The following is a 21,960-nucleotide window of genomic DNA, read 5'->3' on the forward strand; positions in this document are numbered from 1 at the left end:
ACACCTGGCTAATTTTTTTTTGTATTTTTAGTAGAGACTGGGTTTCACTATATTGGGCTAGGCTGGTCTTGAACTCCTGACCTCGTGATCCACCTGCCTTGGCCTCCCAAAGTGCTGGGATTACAGGCATGAGCCAATGTGCCTGGCCCAAAATTTACTTCTTAATTTCTTTATTAACTCATTGTTGAATTTTCATATATTTGTGTTTTAGAAAATTCTTTTTTTTTTTTTTTTTTTTTTTTTTTTTTTTTTTTAGGATAGTCTCACTCTGTTGCCAGGCTGGAGTGCAGTAGCATGATCTTAGCTCACTGCAATATCCGCCTCCTGGATTCAAGTGATTTCCCCTGCCTCAGCCTCCCAAGTAGCTGGGCCTACAGGCATGCACCACCACACCTGGCTAATTTTTTGTATTTCAGTAGAGACCGGGTTTCACTATGTTGGCCAGGATGGTCTTGATCTCCTGACATCGTGATCCGCCCACCTTGGCCTCTCAAAGTGCTGGGATTACAGGCATGAGCCACTGTGCCTGGCTGAAAATTTATCTTGTTATTGATTTGTAGTGTTATTTTATTGTACACAGAATAGATACTTGATATGATATTGGATGCATGCATTCAATATGTAATAATCACATTAGGGTAAATGGAATATCTATCACCTGAAGCATTTATCCTTTGTGTTACAAATAACCCAATCATATTCTTTTCATCATTTAAAAATGTAGAATTAAATTATTATTCACTACTGTCACTCTGTTGTGCTATCAAATACTAAACCTTATTCATTCTTTTTTAAATGGTCTTATGAAAGGAATTTATATTTTACAGTTGTTGGATGAAATAGTCTGTAAATGTCTGTTAGATTTGTTTGATCTAACGTGCAGCATAAATCCAACGTTTCTTTGTCAATTTTCTGTGTAGATGACCTGTTCACTGCTGAGAGTGGGGTGTTGAAGCTCCCCAACTGTAATTGTATTGGAGTCTATCTCTCTCCTTAAATCTAATAATATTGGTTTTATATTTCTTTGTGTTCCAGTGTTGGGTGCATATGTATTTAGAATTGTCATACCCTCTTGGTATATTGATTGATCTTTTACCATTTGATCCCGTATCACTTGAGCCCTTATTAATGATCCTTTGTCATGGAGTCATTTATCCTTTTATCATTATGAATGACCTTCTTTGTCTCTTATAGTTTTATGTTAAAATCTACATTATCAGATATAAGCATACTGACTCCTGATTGCTTTTGATTTTCATTTGTGTGGAATATTTTTTCCATCTCTTCATTTTCTTTTCTTTTTTTTTTTTTTGAGATGGAGTTTCACTTTGTTGCCCAGGGTGGAGTGCAGCGGTGCATTCTTGGCTCACTGCAACCTCCACCTCCTGGGTTCAAGTGATTCTCCTGCCTTAGCCTCCTGAGCAGCTGGGACAACAGGCACATGCCACCATGCCCAGCTAATTTTTGTATATTCAGTAGAGATGGGTTTCACCATGTTGGCCCAGCTGGTCTCAAAACTCCTGACCTCAAGTGATCTGTCCCCCTTGGCCTCCCAAAGTGCTGGGATTACAGGTGTGAGCCATTGGGCCTGGCCATCATCTCTTCATTTTCAATTGGTATATATCTTTATAGGTGAAGTGAGTTTCTTGTAAGCAGCATATTTTTGAGTCATTTAAAAAATATCAATTCAGACAGTTTCTATCTTTTAAGTGGGGAATTTAGTCTGTTTTCACTCAGAGTTATTGATAAGTGAGGACATATTCTTGTGATTTTGTTAACTGTTTTCTGAGTGTTGTGTATATCCTTTGTTGTTTTCTTCCTCTGTCATTGTTTGTCATTGCACTTTGGTGGATTTCTGTAGTGATAACCTTTGATTCCTTTCTTTTTCTCCTTTATGTATCTGCCCCACCCATAAGTTTTACACTTTTGTGTGTTTTCATGATAGTGATTATTATCTTTTTGCCTCCAGATGTAGTACTTCTTTGAGTATTTCTTTTTAAGCCTGTCTGATGGTGTTTAATGTCCTTAGAGTTTCTTTTGTGGAAAAAATGTTATTACTCTCTCATTTCTGAAGCATAGCTTTGCTCTGTATAGTATTCTTGCTGGACAAGTTTTTTCTGTCAGCACTTTGAATATATTATCCCATACTCTCCTGGCCTGTAAAGTTTCTGTGAAGAAAATTGCTATTGGTCTACTGGCAATTTCTTTATATGTGACTTGACGCTTTTGCTGTTTTTAGAATTCTCCCTCCTTCTTTGACTTTTGATAATTTGACTGTAATGTGCCACTGGGAGGAACTTTCAGCTGAATCTTTTTTGGGGCCTTGGATCTAGATGTCCATTCTCTCTCCAGACTTGAGATTTTTTTGCAATTATTTCATTAAGTCAGTTTTCTATGCCTTTTCTCTTCTCTTTTCCTTCTGGGACTTCTGAGTTCCAACATTTATTCACCTAGTGGTGTTGCATAAGTTTTATAACTTTTTTTTTCACTGTTTTTCACTCTTATATCTTAATTTTTCTGTAATTGGGTAATTTTAAGTGACCTATATTTAAGTTCAGAGATTCTTTCTTCTGCTCGATCAAGTCTGCTATTGACACTGTCCATTTTATTTTTTAAATTTCATTCATTGAATTCTTCAGTTGCAGGATTTCTGTTTTTTAATTATTATTCCTATCGCTATTGAATTTCTGATTCATATCATAAAGTTTATCTGATTTTATTGAATTGTGTCTGTATTTTCTTTTATCTTGTCGAGTTTCCTTAAGATTAGTAGTTTGAATTCCTTTTCCATAGGTCATTTATTTCCTTTTCATTGATGTCTTTTACCAGCAAGTTATTATGTTCTTTTGGTAATGTCATATTTCCTTGCTTTTAAATGTTTCTTTTGGCACTTCAGTGTTATCTGTACATCTGGTGGAACAATTGCTTCTTTCAAACTTTTTAGAGTTGCTTTCATAAAGTAAGACTTTCCCCTCCAGTTGGATATTCTTGTGCCAGTTGGCAAGAAATTGGTGACTGTTTCCAAATTAGTATAGTGGTATGGTCTACATGTAGTTTCCTTATCTGTGTTGAATGTTATCAATAACTATGAGTGACCCCATGGCCTAGACTGCAGATGTTTGTGACAGTGGTTGCTTAGGTTGTTAGCATCATTGGTCAAGGCTTTGGGGGCCTTCCAATTCTTATTTTTCTGCTCAGCACCACAGGGGAAGGGTGTAACAGCTGCTCAAAGCTCAGCTTGGGGATGTTAGGCCACTGGGCTGGAGTGCTTCAACAGTGGCTTAACCTCTGGCATGAAGGGGATCTGTGGCTATTAGCCCCCAGAACAAGATGCACTCCAGTCATAGTTCTAAATGTGAGATGGCACAGTGCAATAGCTGTATGGGCCACAGGGAGCAGGACACAGGGTGGGCTTCTTCTCTGGAAGGAACACAGCCATATATATATATGGACTCTAGGCAGCTTCCTCAGTCAGGCTTAGTGTCTAAAATACTCCAGTGGTGAGGTCTGTGGGTGTCCAATATGTTGATGGGGGTTATTGGGATCCTCTGGTTTACCTTCTCACTGAATTAGGAGAAGTTCCTTCTAATTCTCAGCTGATCATGTGTAGGGGATGGGACAGTGGAGGTCCAGCATTTTTTTTTTTTTTTCATTCTCAATGTAGGCATCCTGAGTTTCTGTGCTCATTAGAGTTTCTGTGACTTTTCTGATGCATTCCTGTACTCTCCTTCAAGTATGTAGTTGTTTATTCATATTCATACTGTCTTTGGGGGTTAGAAGCAATAAGAGCTTCTAGTCTGCCATGTTGCTGATGTTACTCCTGTAATTTTATTTTCTTGTAGTGTCTTTTGTGTGGATTTGGTATCAATCATGGTAATGGTGGCTTCATAAAATGTGTTTGAAAGTATTCTCTCTACTTCTATTTTTGGAAGAGTTTAAAATAGATTGGTTACATATGTATACATGTGCCATGCTGGTGTGCTGCACCCACTAACTCGTCATCTAGCATTAGGTATATCTCCCAATGCTATCCCTCCCCCCACCCCACAACAGTCCCCAGAGTGTGATGTTCCCCTTCCTGTGTCCATGTGTTCTCATTGTTCAATTCCCACCTATGAGTGAGAATACGTGGTGTTTGGTTTTTTGTTCTTGCAATAGTTTACTGAGAATGATGATTTCCAATTTCATCCATGTCCCTATAAAGGACATGAACTCATCATTTTTTATGGCTGCATAGTATTCCATGGTGTATATGTGCCACATTTTCTTAATCCAGTCTATCATTGTTGGACATTTGGGTTGGTTCCAAGTCTTTGCTATTGTGAATAGTGCTGCAATAAACATACGTGTGCATGTGTCTTTATAGCAGCATAATTTATAGTCCTTTGGGTATATACCCAGTAAAGGGATCACTGGGTCAAATGGTATTTCTAGTTCTAGATCCCTGAGGAATGGCCACACTGACTTACACAATGGTTGAACTAGTTTACAGTCCCACCGACAGGGTAAAAGTGTTCCTATTTCTCCACATCCTCTCCAGCACCTGTTGTTTCCTGACTTTTTAATGATCGCCATTCTAACTGGTGTGAGATGGTATCTCATTGTGGTTTTGATTTGCATTTCTCTGATGGCCAGTGATGGTGAGCATTTTTTCATGTGTTTTTTGGCTGCATAAATGTCTTCTTTTGAGAAGTGTCTGTTCATGTCCTTCGCCCACTTTTTGATGGGGTTGTTTTTTTCTTGTAAATTTGTTTGAGTTCATTGTAGATTCTGGATATTAGCCCTTTGTCAGATGAGTAGGTTGCGAAAATTTTCTCCCATTTTGTAGGTTGCCTGTTCACTGTGATGGTAGTTTCTTTTGCTGTGCAGAAGCTCTTTAGTTTAATTAGATCCCATTTGTCAATTTTGGCTTTTGTTGCCATTGCTTTTGGTGTTTTAGACATGAAGTCCTTGCCCATGCCTATGTCCTGAATGGTATTGCCTAGGTTTTCTTCTAGGGTTTTTATGGTTTTAGGTCTAAGGTTTAAGTCTTTAATCCATCTTGAATTAATTTTTGTATAAGGTGTAAGGAAGGGATCCAGTTTCAGCTTTCTACATATGGCTAGCCAGTTTTCCCAGCACCATTTATTAAACAGGGAATCCTTTCCCCATTGCTTGTTTTTCTTAGTTTTGTCAAAGATCAGATAGTTGTAGATATGCGGCATTATTTCTGAGGGCTCTGTTCTGTTCCATTGATCTATATCTCTGTTTTGGTACCAGTACCATGCTGTTTTGGTTATGTAGCCTTGCAGTATAGTTTGAAGTCAGGTAGTGTGATGCCTCCAGCTTTGTTCTTTTGGCTTAGGATTGACTTGGCGATGTGGGCTCTTTTTTGCTTCCATATGAACTTTAAAGTAGTTTTTTCCAATTCTTTGAAGAAAGTCATTGGTAGCTTGATGAGGATGGCATTGAATCTGTAAATTACCTTGGGCAGTATGGCCATTTTCACGACATTGATTCTTCCTACCCATGAGCATGGAATGTTCTTCCATTTGTTTGTATCCTCTTTTATTTCATTGAGCAGTGGTTTGTAGTTCTCCTTAAAGAGGTCCTTCACATCCCTTGTAAGTTGGATTCCTAGGTATTTTATTCTCTTTGAAGCAATTGTGAATGGGAGTTCACTCATGATTTGGCTCTCTGTTTGTCTGTTGTTGGTGTATAAGAATGCTTGTGATTTTTGTACATTGATTTTGTATCCTGAGACTTTGCTGAAGTTGCTTATCAGCTTAAGGAGATTTTGGGCTGAGACAATGGGGTTTTCAAGATATACAATCATGTCATCTGCAAACAGGGACAATTTGACTTCCTCTTTTCCTAACTGAATACCCTTTATTTCGTTCTTCTGCCTCATTGCCCTGGCTAGAACTTCCAACACTATGTTGAATAGGAGTGGTGAGAGAGGACATCCCTGTCTTGTGCCAGTTTTCAAAGGGAATGCTTCCAGTTTTTGCCCATTCAGTATGATATTGGCTGTGGGTTTGTCATAGATAGCTCTTATTATTTTGAAATCGTTGGAAAAGCGCAGTATTCGGGTGGGAGTGACCCGATTTTCCAGGTGCCGTCTGTCACCCCTTTCTTTGACTAGGAAAGGGAACTCCCTGACCCCTTGCGCTTCCCGAGTGAGGCAATGCCTCGCCCTGCTTCGGCTCGTGCACGGTGCGTGCACCCACTGACCTGTGCCCACTGTCTGGCACTCCCTAGTGAGATGAACCCGGTACCTCAGATGGAAATGCAGAAATCACTCGTCTTCTGCATCACTCACGCTGGGAGCTGTAGACCGGAGCTGTTCCTACTCGGCCATCTTGGCTCCTCCCCCGCATGTGTCTTTATGGTAGAATGATTTATAGCCCTTTGGATTTATACCCAGTAATGGGATTGCTGGGTTTGAATGGTTAAATCCAATTCTTAATAAAAGCTTATAAAGAAATCTATCCAATCTTAACTAGTTTGACCATAATGCAAACTTTTTATAAACCTTTTACAACCCTTTACAATTTTCTGTTGAACAGCAGATTAATTCTATAAGAAAAACCTGTTACTCAAATACATGGGCCCAGATTCTGGCCCTGTATCAGTGTGCTTTTATTTTATTGTTTAACCTACAGAGAAATTAAATAATGCCCTTCAAATCTTAGCCAACTTTCTCATACCCGCAGACTTTCCTTCACAAGATTAATGCTTCACAAATTCTTCACAACTTGCTTGAACCTTTAGTTTTTTTCCCCCATTACTCTTTTAGGTTAGGACAATCCTTAAAAACTGCTGAACTAGACAAAATTACATCTTTTTAACAAAAGTCATACTCCCATACCTTTTATCACCTTTTACCAAAATCACACTTTACCTTCCTTACACACCCTGCATGTGAAACTCTTTCTTCAGTAGTTTCAAGCACATGTTATAATATTAACTTTTAGCAACTCTTATTTTTGGTGGAAAAGATGGTAAACAAGCAATTTTAACCATGTATCAGATTGCAGATCTCAGGATGAGGATAGAGCTGCAGATAGTGTCCAACTCTCCCAAACTTAGCCAGGGGACCTGGCCTAAGCCTTACCTAAAATCTAATGGCTATAAAACAGACAAGTCAAACAATTATTTAAAGTCATAGAAGCAGTTTATGGCCTTAAAACACATGGCAAACAGGTTCAGCCTGCCTACTTTAGACCAAATGTCTAAATTTTGAATATATTTATTTTATTTTACCAATAATCTTTTACATTGTCTTTTTTAAAGAAATTAGAGTCCCATGACCTAAATCCATTAAAGTTTCTATTTTTTTCTGACAATATGTTTAAGTGCTTATATTTAGGACAATTAATTACAGCTCTTTTACACCACACACGTAACACACATAATACACAGACAAAAACGGAGATCCAAGACAGAATTTCATCAATAAAGAAATCTTTAGAGGGAGAGTGGGGGCTTTAAAACAATATTCACGCATATATAGGCCAAATATCAGCTTTAATTAAGTCAACTTTTAAGTATAGAGATCTTAAGATTCTTTAAAAATCTTTTATTACCAGCTTTTAGCCAAGACAAAGGGCCAATATTTCTGGCTTTTGAATTTTTTTTACTAAAGGCAACCTTCTACATGAAATCAGTAAGTCTTAACTAAGAGGATGGTAACCTTGGATGCATGAAGTGTCTCCAAAGAGATGGCAAGCGATGGGCAAAGAGACGGCAAGCAATTTTTATGAGATGTAGAATCTCCCCAAAGGTAGTTCAGGAAAAAGAAAATTTCAAGACACGAAATCAGAAGCTGTCCACAAAGAGGAAAGGAAGCAATAAATGGCAAAAAGTCAAACACACATAAAATCAGAAAAGACTGATTCCCTAAGCCAGGAATTGAACCCAGGCCACCAGCATGAAAAGACAAAAACCTTAACTACTGAGCACAAGGTGACTGAAATTGCTTTTCCTGAAAGGAATCTTGAGCAGTTATTTTTGAAGTTGCAAAGGATTTTAACTATTCAAGAGAATTAAGGTGAGAATTAACATAATAATGTCCCTTTTTTAGACCCAAGAATCAAAGCTTTGTAACTCAACTGCACAGGGCTTTAAAGGCAATACAGAAAGTTACTTGGATGAATAACCTTTTCAAGTGCACAACTGGAATTAACTTTTAGATAACTTTTGAATTAGATAAAATTATTCTTTTTTAAAAAAAAATAGAACACATTTTCCTTGGCACATTTTATGTAAACCCAGGAAGCAAGAAATCCTAAATTGCCTATCAGATACTAGCATTTTATAGATGAGCACCATTCTACAATTTTGGAACGTGTTCTCAATATAATAATCTTTTCTTAATTGGAAATGACCCAGGTATATACCCAAAGAATTATAAATCACTTTACTATAAAGACACATGTACACATATGTTTATTGTGGCACTATTCACAATAGCAAAGACTTGGAACCAACCCAAATGTCCATCAATGATAGACTAGATTAAGAAAATGTGGCACATATACACCATGGAATATTATGCAGCCATAAAAAAGGATGAGTTCATGTCCTTTGTAGGGACATGGATGAAGCTGGAAACCATCATTCTGAGCAAACTATTGCAAGGACAGAAAACCAAACACTGCATGTTCTCACTCATAGGTGGGAATTGAACAATGAGAACACTTGGACATAGGGTGGGGTACATCACACACCAGGGTGGGGGGAGGGGGGAGGGATTGCATTAGGAGATATACCTAATGTAAATGACAAGTTAATGGGTGCAGCACACCAACATGGAACATGTATACATATGTAACAAACCTGCACGTTGTGCACATGTACCCTAGAACTTAAAGTATATATTTTAAAAAGTCAGATGAATTTTCTGCCTAGGAAAAAGCATTTAAATTATAATTCATAGTTCCAATGAGTTGGCAGTGAAATTGGGGCCATGAGATGTTCCAGCAGCGATGGAGATGGGGCAAATCTTATAGTATTAACATCACACCATTTGGCAATAATGTCAAAAGTTACAAAAATACTTGAAATCAGTAATTATGAGAATGTATACTGGGAAAACTTTCAAAATAAATTCAATCTATATGCAAAAAAAGAGAATGTTCCAATACTTGAAATCAGTAATTATGTTTATGAGAATGTATACTGGGAAAACTTTCAAAATAAATTCAAGCTATATGCAAAAAAAAGAGAATGTTCCTATTCCTTATTTATAATCCTTAAATAGTGTTCCTATTCCTGAAAGATTAAAGTCGCATGAAGTAAAAGGCATTACAGCTTTTATTTTTCCTTCAAAAAATATTTTATCTAAGTGCTTATTTTTAAAGCCAGTTAATTATAACTTTTTTTGTATAACCATTACACACATAACATATATATGACTACACAGACAGAAGAAAACCCAGCAGTTGTAAGGTTTTTTTGTTCGTCAATTTTCTAATTGGATTATTGGCCTCAGGGTGGAGCTCTTTAAGAACAGGGCTAGGAAAGCATACAGTTTCTAGGGCCTAATAAACAGGCATACCTGAAAGGCAAAAAGAGATTTTGAGTGGGTTATATTCACCTCTAATTCTTGGGGTTTCATGAGGAAAAGAGAGATGTCTCACAAAATGGAATCCTTGGCATTTTTTTTTTTTCCCCAAGGAGTCCCAGGCCATCAGAAGCTATCTAGGGCCTTTCATACATGCACTGACTGGCAAGACAAAGTGGAGAAAAGTAATTTAGTCAACTGAGAAAAAAAAAAACCTTTTCAGAAAAACAAGATCCAAGGAGAGAAAAACATAAAAATCTTTTAAATATATCTATAACTTGGATATCCTCTTTTAATTAAGCTGAGCATTCTTTAAGAATATCCTTTTTCATTAATTAAAACTTTACAGGGAATATAAACAATGATTCTTATCATTCCTTTCACTGGTTTGCACAGGGACAGAGAGGCCAAAAGTCTGACTGTAAAAAAACTTTTATCCTTTTACCAGCATGTCTGGCTTCTGGGTTTTCTAGGGGAGTTTCTTTGAGGTCCTCCTTGGCTGCATAGGTTTGCATGACTGTTCAAAGCCATATTCAGGTTCTTCAGTTTCCTCTGGGAGGAAAGTGTCTGGGTTCAGGCAAGGACAGGTTTTTTTAACTGGACTGTAGATTCCTCTAACAGCAGAGCCTGATCTTTGAGGAGGTGATTATCTGTTGGCCAGGGACTTCTCTTAGAAGACAGCAGTTCTGCCGCATTATGTGGGTTATATACAGTTAAGTCATTCCTCATGGTTAACTTGGTGGCCACTGACACCAGTAAAGCCACTGCTGTAACTGCTCAGAGGCAAGCTGGCCGTACTTTAGCCATCAACTCAAGCTCCTTGCTTAGGTAACCTACTGGCTGTTGAGCTGGACCTTGAGCCTGAGTTAAAACTCCCAGGGCCATTCTCTTCCTTTTTGCTACATAGAGACTGAATGTCTTTCCTATGGGAAGACTAAGGGCTGGTGCTTTAAGCAAGGCTTGTTTTAACTGGTTAAAGCCTTTTTGAGCCCCAGGTTCCCAAGTCAGGGACTGAGTTTTAGCTGCTTGCATTTCTTTTATGAGGTGGTATAAAGGGCGAGTTATCTCACTGTACCTGGGTATTCCTAGTTTGCAAAATTCAATAATGCCTAAGAATCCCTTCAGATGTTTAAGCATTTTGGGAAGGGCAAAGAGGAAATGGGCTTAATCATTTCCTTACCTAGTGCTCTTGTTCCTTCTGACAGGACTAGATATAGGTACTTTACTGAAGTTTGAAAGAGCTGAGCCTTAAATTTTGAAACCCTATATCCCCTTTCAGCTAAAAAATTGAGGAGAGCCTCAGTGTCTTCCTGAGACTTTCTCAGTTGGGGCACAGAGGAGAATGTCATCTACATACTGCAAAGCTTCAACCTGAGGGTGAGAAAAATCAGAGAGATCTTTGGACACGGCCTGTTTTTGCAACTTCCTTCAGATATTAGGGGCTGCCTGAGTAATAAACTTGTCCTTTAAGATTAGCTGTCCTTCAATTGAAATGAGAGATAGAAAGGTGTGTTTCACTAAAGCTTCTCTCAGCCTTTCCAAAAAGGCTGAGGGGTTTTCATCTAGGTTTTTTTTTTTTTTTATTATCTATTATGGAAAGCTTGTAGTAGTTAATAGGTTTGGCTATAGTCCTTTGTGGCTTCTCCAATATACGCATTTGAAAGAGTTTTCTTCTCCACTCACCAATGCTATTATTATGGTCACATTTAGGGTCCTTTAAGGGCACTATTACTCTCCCAATTGGATAAGGCTCTTCCCCTTCCCTGGCACTGTATGAGACACAAAGTTCATCTCCAAATTTCTTTGCTGCCTACAGGGCCAACTGTTTCTCAGCAGCAGTTAGGGTTTGATTTAAGAGTAACCTAACATCCTTCCAGCAGAGTTTAAATACTCTATATGTGAGTGAAGTTGGGACTTTCCTAAAGCAAACTTCAGGGTCTGACGATTAAAAGAGATCCAGGCTGCACTCGAGGAAAGTGCAGGCTTGAAGATGGGTTGTTAAGTATCTGGAAAGAGAGGGGAGAAAAGGCATACCTTAGTCCACTTCCTCCTTTTGGAGTGACCCAGGGTACAGAGAAAGGTAGAAAGGGCGTCCTCCTTCTCCTCTTTCCTCCCATCTCCTCTGGGTCCTGGTGGCCATCAATTGTGCTGCCCATGGATGCAAGCATTACCACCCATGGATCCAGAGGAGCTAGTCAGCAGGAGTAGTCATGTTTACCTGTGAGATTCCCTAGCTCTCTACCTATCTCTGGGTATCCCAGACCTACTCGACCTAAAAGGCTCCCATGGTACCCCAGGGGCCCAGGAGGGATTGTGCAGTAGTTGGATTTGAGTAAGACCATTTAATGGAAGGAGTGTCTTGACTCTGTCCCTGGCTTCTCTTACTGTGGCCCTAGCAAAGCCCTGATTTCCCAGAGAATGGGACCAATTGACTTCTAAGCATAAAATCCTCTTTTGTTTAAATGCCAATGTAGTTGTGTTTAGGACAGGTGCCTCAAAAAATATAAGGATTAAATGGCTGTCCTACCTTCGATGAGGACAGTACTGAGCCTAGAATTTGTCTCTCAAGGGCAGCTTCCTCCTGACTATTGAAAGTGGAGTTTTCCTGCCTACAAATAGGGCATGAGGTCTGATCACTTATAGAGGGATGCAGGAGGAAAAAGAGTTGGGGAACTAGAGGTTTTGGGAAAAGGGTCAATATGGCCCCCCAACACAGAAAAATCCTATTTTGCTAGGTGTTGTGGCAATAACTGAAATGTTAGGTAAAAACTGTGACTCCAAATTCTTTCTAGGCAGAGAGGTGTGGGGCTTGGTGGGCTGTCCCCACAATATGCCTCCCAGCAAAAATACAATTTGTCTCATGGAGGAACTGTTTAAATTCACTGGCAGTGCTGAGCTTTTATGTGGAGGAATAAAACAACCCAAATGGAGAGGAGGGTATTCACTCAGGTTGAAATATCCTCCTATAGAGTGCCATGAATGACTATCATTGGGGAACAAAAAAGCCCTTACTAGGTGAAAGTTTAGTTCAGTTTAGTTTAGTTTAGTTGAAAGTTTAGTTGAAATCTTGAAATCCCCCCATCTCAAGGAAATCACAGAAGCAGCAATTCTTAGAGTTACATTCCTGGTTACTAAGGCACTTGCTAACTTTACCCAACAAGGTTATCTCCCCAGGCTGTAAAAACTCCCTCAACATAGCATACAAAGAAGGGATAGGAGACATGAGAGCTGCAAAAAAGAAAAGAAAGGAAGAAAATGTGATAGGAAAGTCTGGAAGTCCTGGTGGGCTGTTGGGGACTGGAGTTAGTCCAGGAGTCTTCAGGTAACACCAAGGTGCAGCCTCCGCCAGATGCCTTCAGTTGCCCCAGGACCTTCTTCCAGCCCCACATGATGGCTAGATCTTCTGTGAAAGGGAGCTAGGTTGGAACAGAGCCAACATTCCCAACACCCAAGAGTGATGGGGGATTGATAAAGTCCTCTCCATCAAGCCTGTCCCCTGAATCTTGTAAGGCTGGCAGCCACTCTAGAAGCTTTTAATAGGCTGACAGGGGCCCAGTGTTTTGTTTGATCTTACAAGAAAAAAACAGAGGATAAGGAGCCTTGGAAATGAAAGTACAGTGTTGGAGGTCCTCTCCTACTCATCTTTCTGATGTTTCCTTTCCTGGCCAATGCACCAGTGTTGCATTCTTGTTATCTGAGGTATTACTCAGAGTATTATCTGCTTATTCTACTGAGTAACATTTCTGCAGTTTGCAGCAAAACCCTTAATATTATAAAAGAAGTGAGGTGGAGCCAAGATGGCCGAATAAGAACAGTTACAGTCTACAGCTCCCAGCGTGAGTGATGCAGAAGACGGCTGATTTCTGCATTTCCAACTGAGGTACCGGGTTCATCTCACTGTGGAGTGTTGGATAGTGGGTGCAGGACAGTGGGTGCAGCGCACCGAGTGTGAGACGAAGCAGGGCGAGGCATCATCTCATCCGGGAAGCACAAGGGGTCAGGGAATTCCCTTTCCTAGTCAAAGAAAGGGGTGACAGACGGCACATGGAAAATCGGGTCACTCCCACCCTAATACTGCACTTTTCCAATGGTCTTAGCAAACTGCACACCAGGAGATTATATCCCATGCATGGCTCGGAGGGTCCTACAACCACGGAGCCTCGCTCATTGCTAGCACAGCAGTCTGAGATCAAACTGCAAGGCAGCAATGAGGCTGGGGGAGGGGCGCCTGCCATTGCCAAGGCTTGAGTAGGTAAACAAAGCAGCCAGGAAGCTCGAACTGGGTGGAGCCCAACACAGCTCAAGGAGGCCTGCTTGCCTATGTAGACTCCACCTCTAGGGGCAGGGCATATCCAAACAAAAGGCAGCAGAAACCTCTGCAGACTTAAATGTCCCTGTCTGACAGCTTTGAAGAGAGTAGTGGTTCTCCCAGCACACAGCTTGAGATCTGAGAACGGACAGACTGCCTCCTCAAGTGGGTCCCTGACCCCCGAGTAGCCTAAATGGGAGGCACCCACCAGTAGGGGCAGTCTGACACCTCACACAGCCGGGTACTCCTCTGAGACAAAACTTTCAGAGGAACGATCAGGCAGCAACATTTGCTTTTCACCCATATCCGCTGTTCTGCAGCCTCCGCTGCTGATACCCAGGCAAACAGGGTCTGGAGTGGACCTCCAGCAAACTCCAACAGACCTGCAGCTGAGGGTCCTGACTGTTAGAAGGAAAACAAAGACATCCACACCAAAACCCCATCTGTACGTCACCATCATCAAAGACCAAAGGTAGATAAAACCACAAAGATGGGGAAAAAACAGAGCAGAAAAACTGGAAACTCTAAAAATCAGAGTGCCTCTCCTCCTCCAAAGGAATGAAGCTCCTCTCCAGCAACGGAACAAAGATGGACGGAGAGTGACTTTGACGAGTTGAGAGAAGAAGGCTTCAGACGATCAAACTACTCTGAACTAAAGGAGGAAGTTCGAACCCATGGCAAAGTAGTTAAAAACCTTGAAAAAAAATTAGACGAGTGGCTAACTAGAATAATCAATGCAGAGAAGTCCTTAAAGGACCTGATGGAGCTGAAAACCACGGCATGAGAACTACATGATGAAAGCACAAGCCTCAGTAGCCGATTCGATCAACTGGAAGAAAGGGTATCAGTGACAGAAGATCAAATAAATGAAATGAAATGAGAAGAGAAGTTTAGAGAAAAAAGAATAAAAAGAAACGAACAAAGCCTCCAAGAAATATGGGACCATGTGAAAAGACCAAATCTATGTCTGATTGGTGTACCTGAAAGTGATGGGGAGAATGGAACCAAGTTGGAAAACAATCTGCAGGATATTATCCAGGAGAACTTCCCCAATCTAGCAAGGCAGGCCAACATTCAAACTCAGGAAACACAGAGAATACCACAAAGATACTCCTCGAGAAGAGCAACTCCAAGACACATAATTGTCAGATTCACCAAAGTTGAAATGAAGGAAAAAATGTTAAGGGTAGCCAGAGAGAAAGGTCGGGTTACCCACAAGGGGAAGCCCATCAGACTAACAGCTAATCTCTCCGCAGAAACTCTACATGCCAAAAGAGAGTGGGGGCCAATATTCAACATTCCTAAAGAAAAGAATTTTCAACCCAGAATTTTACATCCAGCCAAACTAACCTTCATACGTGAAGGAGAAATAAAATCCTTTACAGACAAGCAAATGCTGAGAGATTTTGTCACCACCAGGCCTGCCCTACAAGAGCTCCTGAAGGAAGCACTAAACATGGAAAGGAACAACTGGTACCAGCCACTGCAAAAACACGCCAAATTGTAAAGACCATCAATGATAGGAAGAAACTGCATCAACTAATGATCAAAATAACCAGCTAACATCATAATGACAGGGTCAAATTCACACATAACAATATTAACCTTAAATGTAAATGGGCTAAATGCTCCAGTTAAAAGACACAGACTGGCAAATTGGATAAAGAGTCAAGACCCATCATTGTGCTGTATTCAGGAGACCCATCTCATGTGCAGAGACACACATAGTCTCAAAATAAAGGGATGGAGGAAGATCCGCCAAGCAAATGGAAAACAAAACAAAACAAAAAAGCAGGGGTTGCAATCCTAGTCTCGGATAAAACAGACTTTAAACCAACAAAGATCAAAAGAGACAAAGAAGGCCATTACATAATGGTAAAGGGATCAATTCAACAAGAAGAGCTAACTATCCTAAATATATATGCACCTAATACAGGAGCACCCAGATTCATAAAGCAAGTCCTTAGACACCTACAAAGAGACTTGGACTCCCATACAATAATAATGGGAGACTTTAACAAACATCCCACTGTCAACATTAGACAGATCAACGAGACAGAAAGTTAACAAGGATATCCAGGAATTCAACTCCGCTCTGCACCAAGTGGACCTAATAGACATCTACAGAACTCTCCACCCCAAATCAACAGAATATACATTCTTCTCAGCACCACATCGCACTTCTTCCAAAATTGACCACATAATTGGAAGTAAAGCACTCCTCTGCAAATGTAAAAGAACAGAAATTATAACAAACTGTCTCTCAGACCACAGTGCAATCAAACTAGAACTCAGGATCAAGATCCTCACTTAAAACCGCTCAACTACATGGAAACTGAACAACTTCCTCCTGAATGACTACTGGGTACATAACAAAATGAAGGCAGAAATAAAGATGTTCTTTGAAACCAACGAGAACAAAGACACAACATACCAGAATCTCTGGGACACATTCAATGCAGTGTGTAGAGGGAAATTTATAGCACTAAATGCCCACAAGAGAAAGCAGGAAAGATCAAAATTGACACCCTAACATCACAATTAAAAGAACTGGAGAAGCAAGAGCAAACACATTCAAAAAGTAGCAGAAGGCAAGGAATAAATAAGATCAGAGCAGAACTGAAGAAGATAGAGACAAAAAAAAACTCTTCAAAAAATCAATGAATCCAGGAACTGTTTTTTTGACAAGATCAACAAAATTGATAGACTGCTAGCAAGACTAATAAGAAAAGAGAGAAGAATCAAATAGATGCAACAAAAAATGATAAAGGAGACATCACCACCGATCCCACAGAAATACAAACTACCATCAGAGAATACTATAAACACCTCTACACAATAAACTAGCAAATCTAGAAGAAATGGATAAATTCCTGGACACATACACCCTCCCAAGACTAAACCGGGAAGAAGTTGAATCCCTGAATAGACCAATAACAGGCTCTGAAATTGAGGCAATCACTAATAGCCTACCAACCAAAAAAAGTCCAGGACCAGACAGATTCACAGCTGATTTCTACCAGAGGTACAAAGAGGAGCTAGTACCATTCCTTCTGAAACTATTGCAATCAATAGAAAAAGAGGGAATCCTCTCTAACTCATTTTATGAGGGCAGCATCATCCTGATACCAAAGGCTGGCAGAGACACAACAACAAAAAAAAGAATTTTAGACCAATATCGTTGATGAACATCGATGCAAAAGTTCTCAATAAAATACTGGCAAACCGAATCCAGCAGCACATCAAAAAGCTTATCCACCACAATCAAGTTGGCTTCATCCCTGGGATGCAAGGCTGGTTCAACATATGCAAATCAATAAACGTAATCTATCATATAAACAGAACCAAAGACAAAAACCACATGATTATCTCAATAGATGCAGAAAAGGCCTTCAACAAAATTCAACAGCTCTTCATGCTAAAAACTCTCAATAAACTAGGTATTGATGGGATGTATCTCAAAATAATAAGAGCTATTTATGACAAACCCACAGCCAATATCATACTGAATGGGCAAAAACTGGAAGCATTCCCTTTGAAAACTGGCACAAGGTAGGGATGCCCTCTCTCACCACCCCTATTCAACATAGTGTTGGAAGTTCTGGCCAGGGCAATCAGGCAGAAGAAAGAAATAAAGGGTATTCAATTAGGAAAAGAGGAAGTCAAATTGCCCCTGTTTGCAGATGACATGATTGTACATTTAGAAAACCCCATCGTCTCAGCCCAAAATCTCCTTAAGCTGATAAGCAACTTCAGCAAAGTCTCAGGATACAAAATCAATGTGCAAAAATCAAGCATTCCTATACACCAATAACAGATAAACAGAGAACCAAATCGTGAGTGAACTCCCATTCACAATTGCTTCAAAGAAAATAAAATACCTAGGAATCCAACTTACAAGGGATGTGAAGGACCTCTTCAAGGAGAACTACAAACCACTGCTCAATGAAATAAAAGAGGATACAAACAAATGGAAGAACATTCCATGCTCATGGGTAGGAAGAATCAATATCGTGAAAATGGGCATATTGCCCAAGGTAATTTATAGATTCAATGCCATCTCCATCAAGCTACCAATGACTTTCTTCACAGAATTGGAAAAAACTAAAGTTCATGTGGAAGCAAAGAAAAGCCCACATTGCCAAGTCAATCCTAAGCCAAAAGAACAAAGCTGGAGGCATCACGCTACCTGACTTCAAACTATACTACAAGGCTACATAACCAAAACAGCAAGGTACTGGTACCAAAACAGAGATATAGACCAATGGAACATAACAGAACCCTCAGAAATAATGCTGCATATCTACAACTATCTGATCTTTGACAAACCTGACAAAAAGAAGAAATGGGGAAAGGATTCCCTATTTAATAAATGGTACTGGGAAAACTGGCTAGCCATATGTAGAAAGCTGAAACTGGATCCCTTCCTTACACCTTAAACAAAAATTAATTCAAGATGGATTAAAGACTTAAACCTTAGACCTAAAACCATAAAAACCCTAGAAGAAAACCTAGGCAGTACCATTCAGGACATAGGCATGGGCAAGGACTTCATGTCTAAAATACCAAAAGCAATGGCAACAAATGCCAAAATTGACAAATGGGATCTAATTAAACTAAAGAGCTTCTGCACAGCAAAAGAAACTACCATCAGAGTGAACAGGCAACCTACAAAATGGGAGAAAATTTTTGCAATCTACTCATCTGACAAAGGGCTAATATCCAGAATTTACAATGAACCCAAACAAATTTACAACAAAAAAACAAACAACCCCATCAACAAGTGGGCGAAGGATATGAACAGACACTTCTCAAAAAAAGACACTTATGCAGCCTAAAGACACATGAAAAAATGCTCACCATCACTGGCCATCAGAGAAATGCAAATCAAAACAACAATGAGATACCATCTCACGCCAGTTAGAATGGCGATCATTAAAAAGCCAGGAAATAACAGGTGCTGGAGAGGATGTGGAGAAATAGGAACACTTTTACACTGTTGGTGGGACTGTAAACTAGTTCAACCATTGTGGAAGTCGGTGTGGCGATTCCTCAGGGATCTAGAACTAGTATTACCATTTGACCCAGCCATCGCATTACTGGGTATATACCCAAAGGATTATAAATCATGCTGCTATAAAGACACATGCACACGTATGTTTATTGCGGCACTATTCACAATAGCAAAGACTTGGAACCAACCCAAATGTCCAATAATGATAGACTGGATTAAGAAAATGTGGCACATATACACCATGGAATACTATGCAGCCATAAAAAATGATGAGTTCATGTCCTTTGTAGGGACATGGATGAAGCTGGAAACCATCATTCTCAGCAAACTATCACAAGGACAAAAAACCAAACACTGTATGTTCTCACTCATAGGTGGGAATTGAACAATGAGAACACGTGGACACAGGAAGGGGAACATCACACACCGGGGCCTGTTGTGGGGTGGGGGGAGGGGGGAGGGATGGCATTAGTAGATATACCTAATGTTAAATGACGAGTTAACGGGTGCAGCACACCAACATGGCACATGTATACATATGTAACAAACCTGCACGTTGTGCACATGTACCCTAAAACTTAAAGTGTAATAAAAAAAGAGAAATTTGTAAACTTTCTTAGAACATTATGAGTTTTTTTTTTTTACAATTTTTTTTTTTTAGCTCATCATTCTATCGTTAGTCTTAGTATATTTTATCTGTGGCCCAAGACTATTCTTCTTCCACTGTGGGCCAGGGAAGCCAAAAGATTGGACACCTCTGGTTTACAGGGTAGATAATGAATATTTCTATAAAAATTGTATTTCTATGTACTAACAATGACTAATTTAAAATTGAAATTTAAGAGTACTTTTTACAAGAGCATACAACATATACTTGAGACATATAAGATTTGCAGGATATATACACTGAAACTATAAAAGATTGCGGAGAAAAATTAAAGATCTAAATAAAGGGAGAGATATGCCACGTTTATGGGTTACAACACTCAATATTGTTAACGTTAAAATTCTCTTCAAATTGATATACATATATTCAATGCAATCCCAATCAAAATCCACAATACTTTTATTAGAAAATGACAACTAAATTCTAAAATTCATATGGAAATGCGAAGAACTTAGAAAAGCCAAAAACAAAACAAAATAAAAACAGAAAAAATTTGAAAAGAAGTACAAAGTTAAAGGAATACATTGCCTGATTTAAAGACATAGTGTAAAATTATGTTAAATAAGACTTTAAAATATTAGCAAAAATACAGATTAAGGAAGTGCAGAAATAGACCAACAAATATAAGATCAAATAATTTTAAAGAAAGGTGCAAAGGCAACTCACTGAAGATCGTGTTTTAAAGAAATGTTGTTGAATGAACTGGACATCTGTATTAAAACAAAAACCAAAAAACAACACTGTAAAGCTGTGACCCCAAACCTCACATGGTATACAATATTCAAGAACTACCTCAAAATGGATTATAAACCTAAAAGTACAAAACTTTAATTAAGTAACATGAGATAATTTCTTAAATCTTGGCAAATACTTCTGAGATATGTACCAAAAATATGTTCAATCAAAGGAAAAATAACACATTCAACTTTGTCAACAGTAAAATTTTCTGCTATAGGACAGACTGTTAAGATGAAGGTAAAAAAGATCCATAGGCTAGAAGACTATACTGGCAAATCACATATCTGAAGGAGGACTTGTATTCAATACTTATTAAGAACCCTCAAAACTCAATAATAAAGAAAAGAGTTTAAATGGGCAAAAGATTTGAACACTTAAAAGTCCAAAGAAGACAGAGGGATGGCAGTAGTACACATAAAAATTGTAAACATTAGTCATTAGGGGGATACAAAGTAAAATCACAGAGAAATACCACTACACACCAAATGAGAATGGTGAAAATTAAACACTGACCATACCAAGTGTTGGTGAGGACATGGAGTTCCTGAAATCCTCGTAACACTGTGGAGAGAATATAAAATAGTATAACCACTTTGGAACACAATTTGTCAGTTTGAAAAAGGTAAACATCCACTTACCCTGTAAGTTGGTGTGCTTATGCTTATTTTCTGTATTTTATGGTGACATCTTTAAAAGTTTGCTGGCTCTGGAGAGACTGCCCCTCCCAGGGCTAGCCCTTTCTTAGAGATGGCAAAAGCCTTGACCCAGAGCACCTCTCTCATATACAGCCAACCAGTCTAGAGTCTACAGCCCCAATTACCTCTTTATCCAACTCTCACACCCCACGCCAATATCTCTCCTGCACTAAAGCACCCCAGGACCAAGTACCAGGTAACCAGAGACCAACCCTGTAGGCCAAAGCCTGCTGAAATTATGCAAACTAGCTAATCACAAGCTGCTTACTCTGCCCTGCCTGGTCTTTTCCATGGAAACCCCAATAAAGGCTGTGGCCTATGTTTTCCCCTTGCTCCTGCCTCCTGACCAACACTGGTGCTTTCCATGTGGCCCTCTGTGGCACGATGCCTTTCCTTCTCTTGGAAAATGTGAATGGTGAATTATTTCAATGGCACTGGCTTCTCTGTGTTGTCACTTAGTCACCTGTATAAATTAACATCCCACAGGTAGAAATGAAACACTCAGTCCTGTTACTCCTAGGTATTAACATATAAGAAAGACTAGTACATGAATGTTGATAGCAGCTTTATTTGTAATAGCCCCAAACTAGAAGCAATCCAAATGTCCTTTAACAAATGAGCAGCAAAATTGTGGAGTATCTATATAAAGCTATACACGAGTCTGTAATAAAACAATGAAGTGTTGACACATGCAACATGGAGGAATCTCAAAATAATTATGCTGAGTGAGAAAAAAGCAAAAAACAGCATTTTGTTATTCCATTTATGTAAAGTTTTAGAAAAAGAAAATAAGTCTACAGCAAAAGACAGTAAATCAATGTTTGTGGCAATGGGGTGCCAGGGAGGGAGGGAAAGAGGGATTTTAAAGGGGGCTGAGATGACTTTGCAGGTGATGAATCTGCTCATTATCATGATTATGGAGATGGTTTCCTGGGTGTACACATTAGATAACACTTAATACATTTACATTTTAAATATGCACAGTTTACT

General features: G+C 39.3%; 1 protein-coding gene and 2 pseudogenes across 23 annotated transcripts in view; all 3 read right to left on the reverse strand.

The window, feature by feature from the left end:
* The window catches only part of ZNF807P (zinc finger protein 807, pseudogene), a 135,468-nt pseudogene that overhangs the window by 70,113 nt on the left and 43,395 nt on the right, over nucleotides 1–21,960 (reverse strand). The gene's annotated exons all lie outside the window — the stretch shown is intronic.
* Nucleotides 1–21,960, reverse strand: part of SCGB1B2P (secretoglobin family 1B member 2, pseudogene) — a 100,431-nt pseudogene that overhangs the window by 35,076 nt on the left and 43,395 nt on the right. Inside the window, exons 2-3 of one of the 14 annotated variants that reach the window (NR_170966.1) lie at nucleotides 20,794–20,836; nucleotides 20,204–20,247 (exon numbers count right to left, since the gene is read on the reverse strand). The exons of 11 other annotated variants lie outside the window; for them this stretch is intronic. The product of NR_170966.1 is annotated as a secretoglobin family 1B member 2, pseudogene, transcript variant 11 (transcript). Of the gene's footprint in view, nucleotides 1–20,203; nucleotides 20,248–20,788; nucleotides 20,837–21,960 lie in introns of all 14 variants that reach the window. 2 more of the 14 variants (NR_170965.1, NR_170962.1) reach the window with 2 other exon arrangements.
* SCGB2B2 (secretoglobin family 2B member 2) overlaps nucleotides 1–21,960 on the reverse strand; it is a 91,631-nt gene that overhangs the window by 26,276 nt on the left and 43,395 nt on the right. For 2 of the 7 annotated variants that reach the window (NR_170949.1, NR_170951.1), the window contains exons 2-3: nucleotides 20,789–20,836; nucleotides 20,204–20,247 (exon numbers count right to left, since the gene is read on the reverse strand). The exons of 4 other annotated variants lie outside the window; for them this stretch is intronic. The gene's annotated coding sequence lies outside the window, so the exon portion shown is untranslated. The remainder of the gene's footprint in view (nucleotides 1–20,203; nucleotides 20,248–20,788; nucleotides 20,837–21,960) is intronic. One more of the 7 variants, NR_170950.1, reaches the window with a different exon arrangement.

The sequence above is a fragment of the Homo sapiens genome, chromosome 19 (genome assembly GCF_000001405.40).
Source record: "Homo sapiens chromosome 19, GRCh38.p14 Primary Assembly".
NCBI classification, from domain to species: Eukaryota; Metazoa; Chordata; class Mammalia; order Primates; family Hominidae; genus Homo; species Homo sapiens.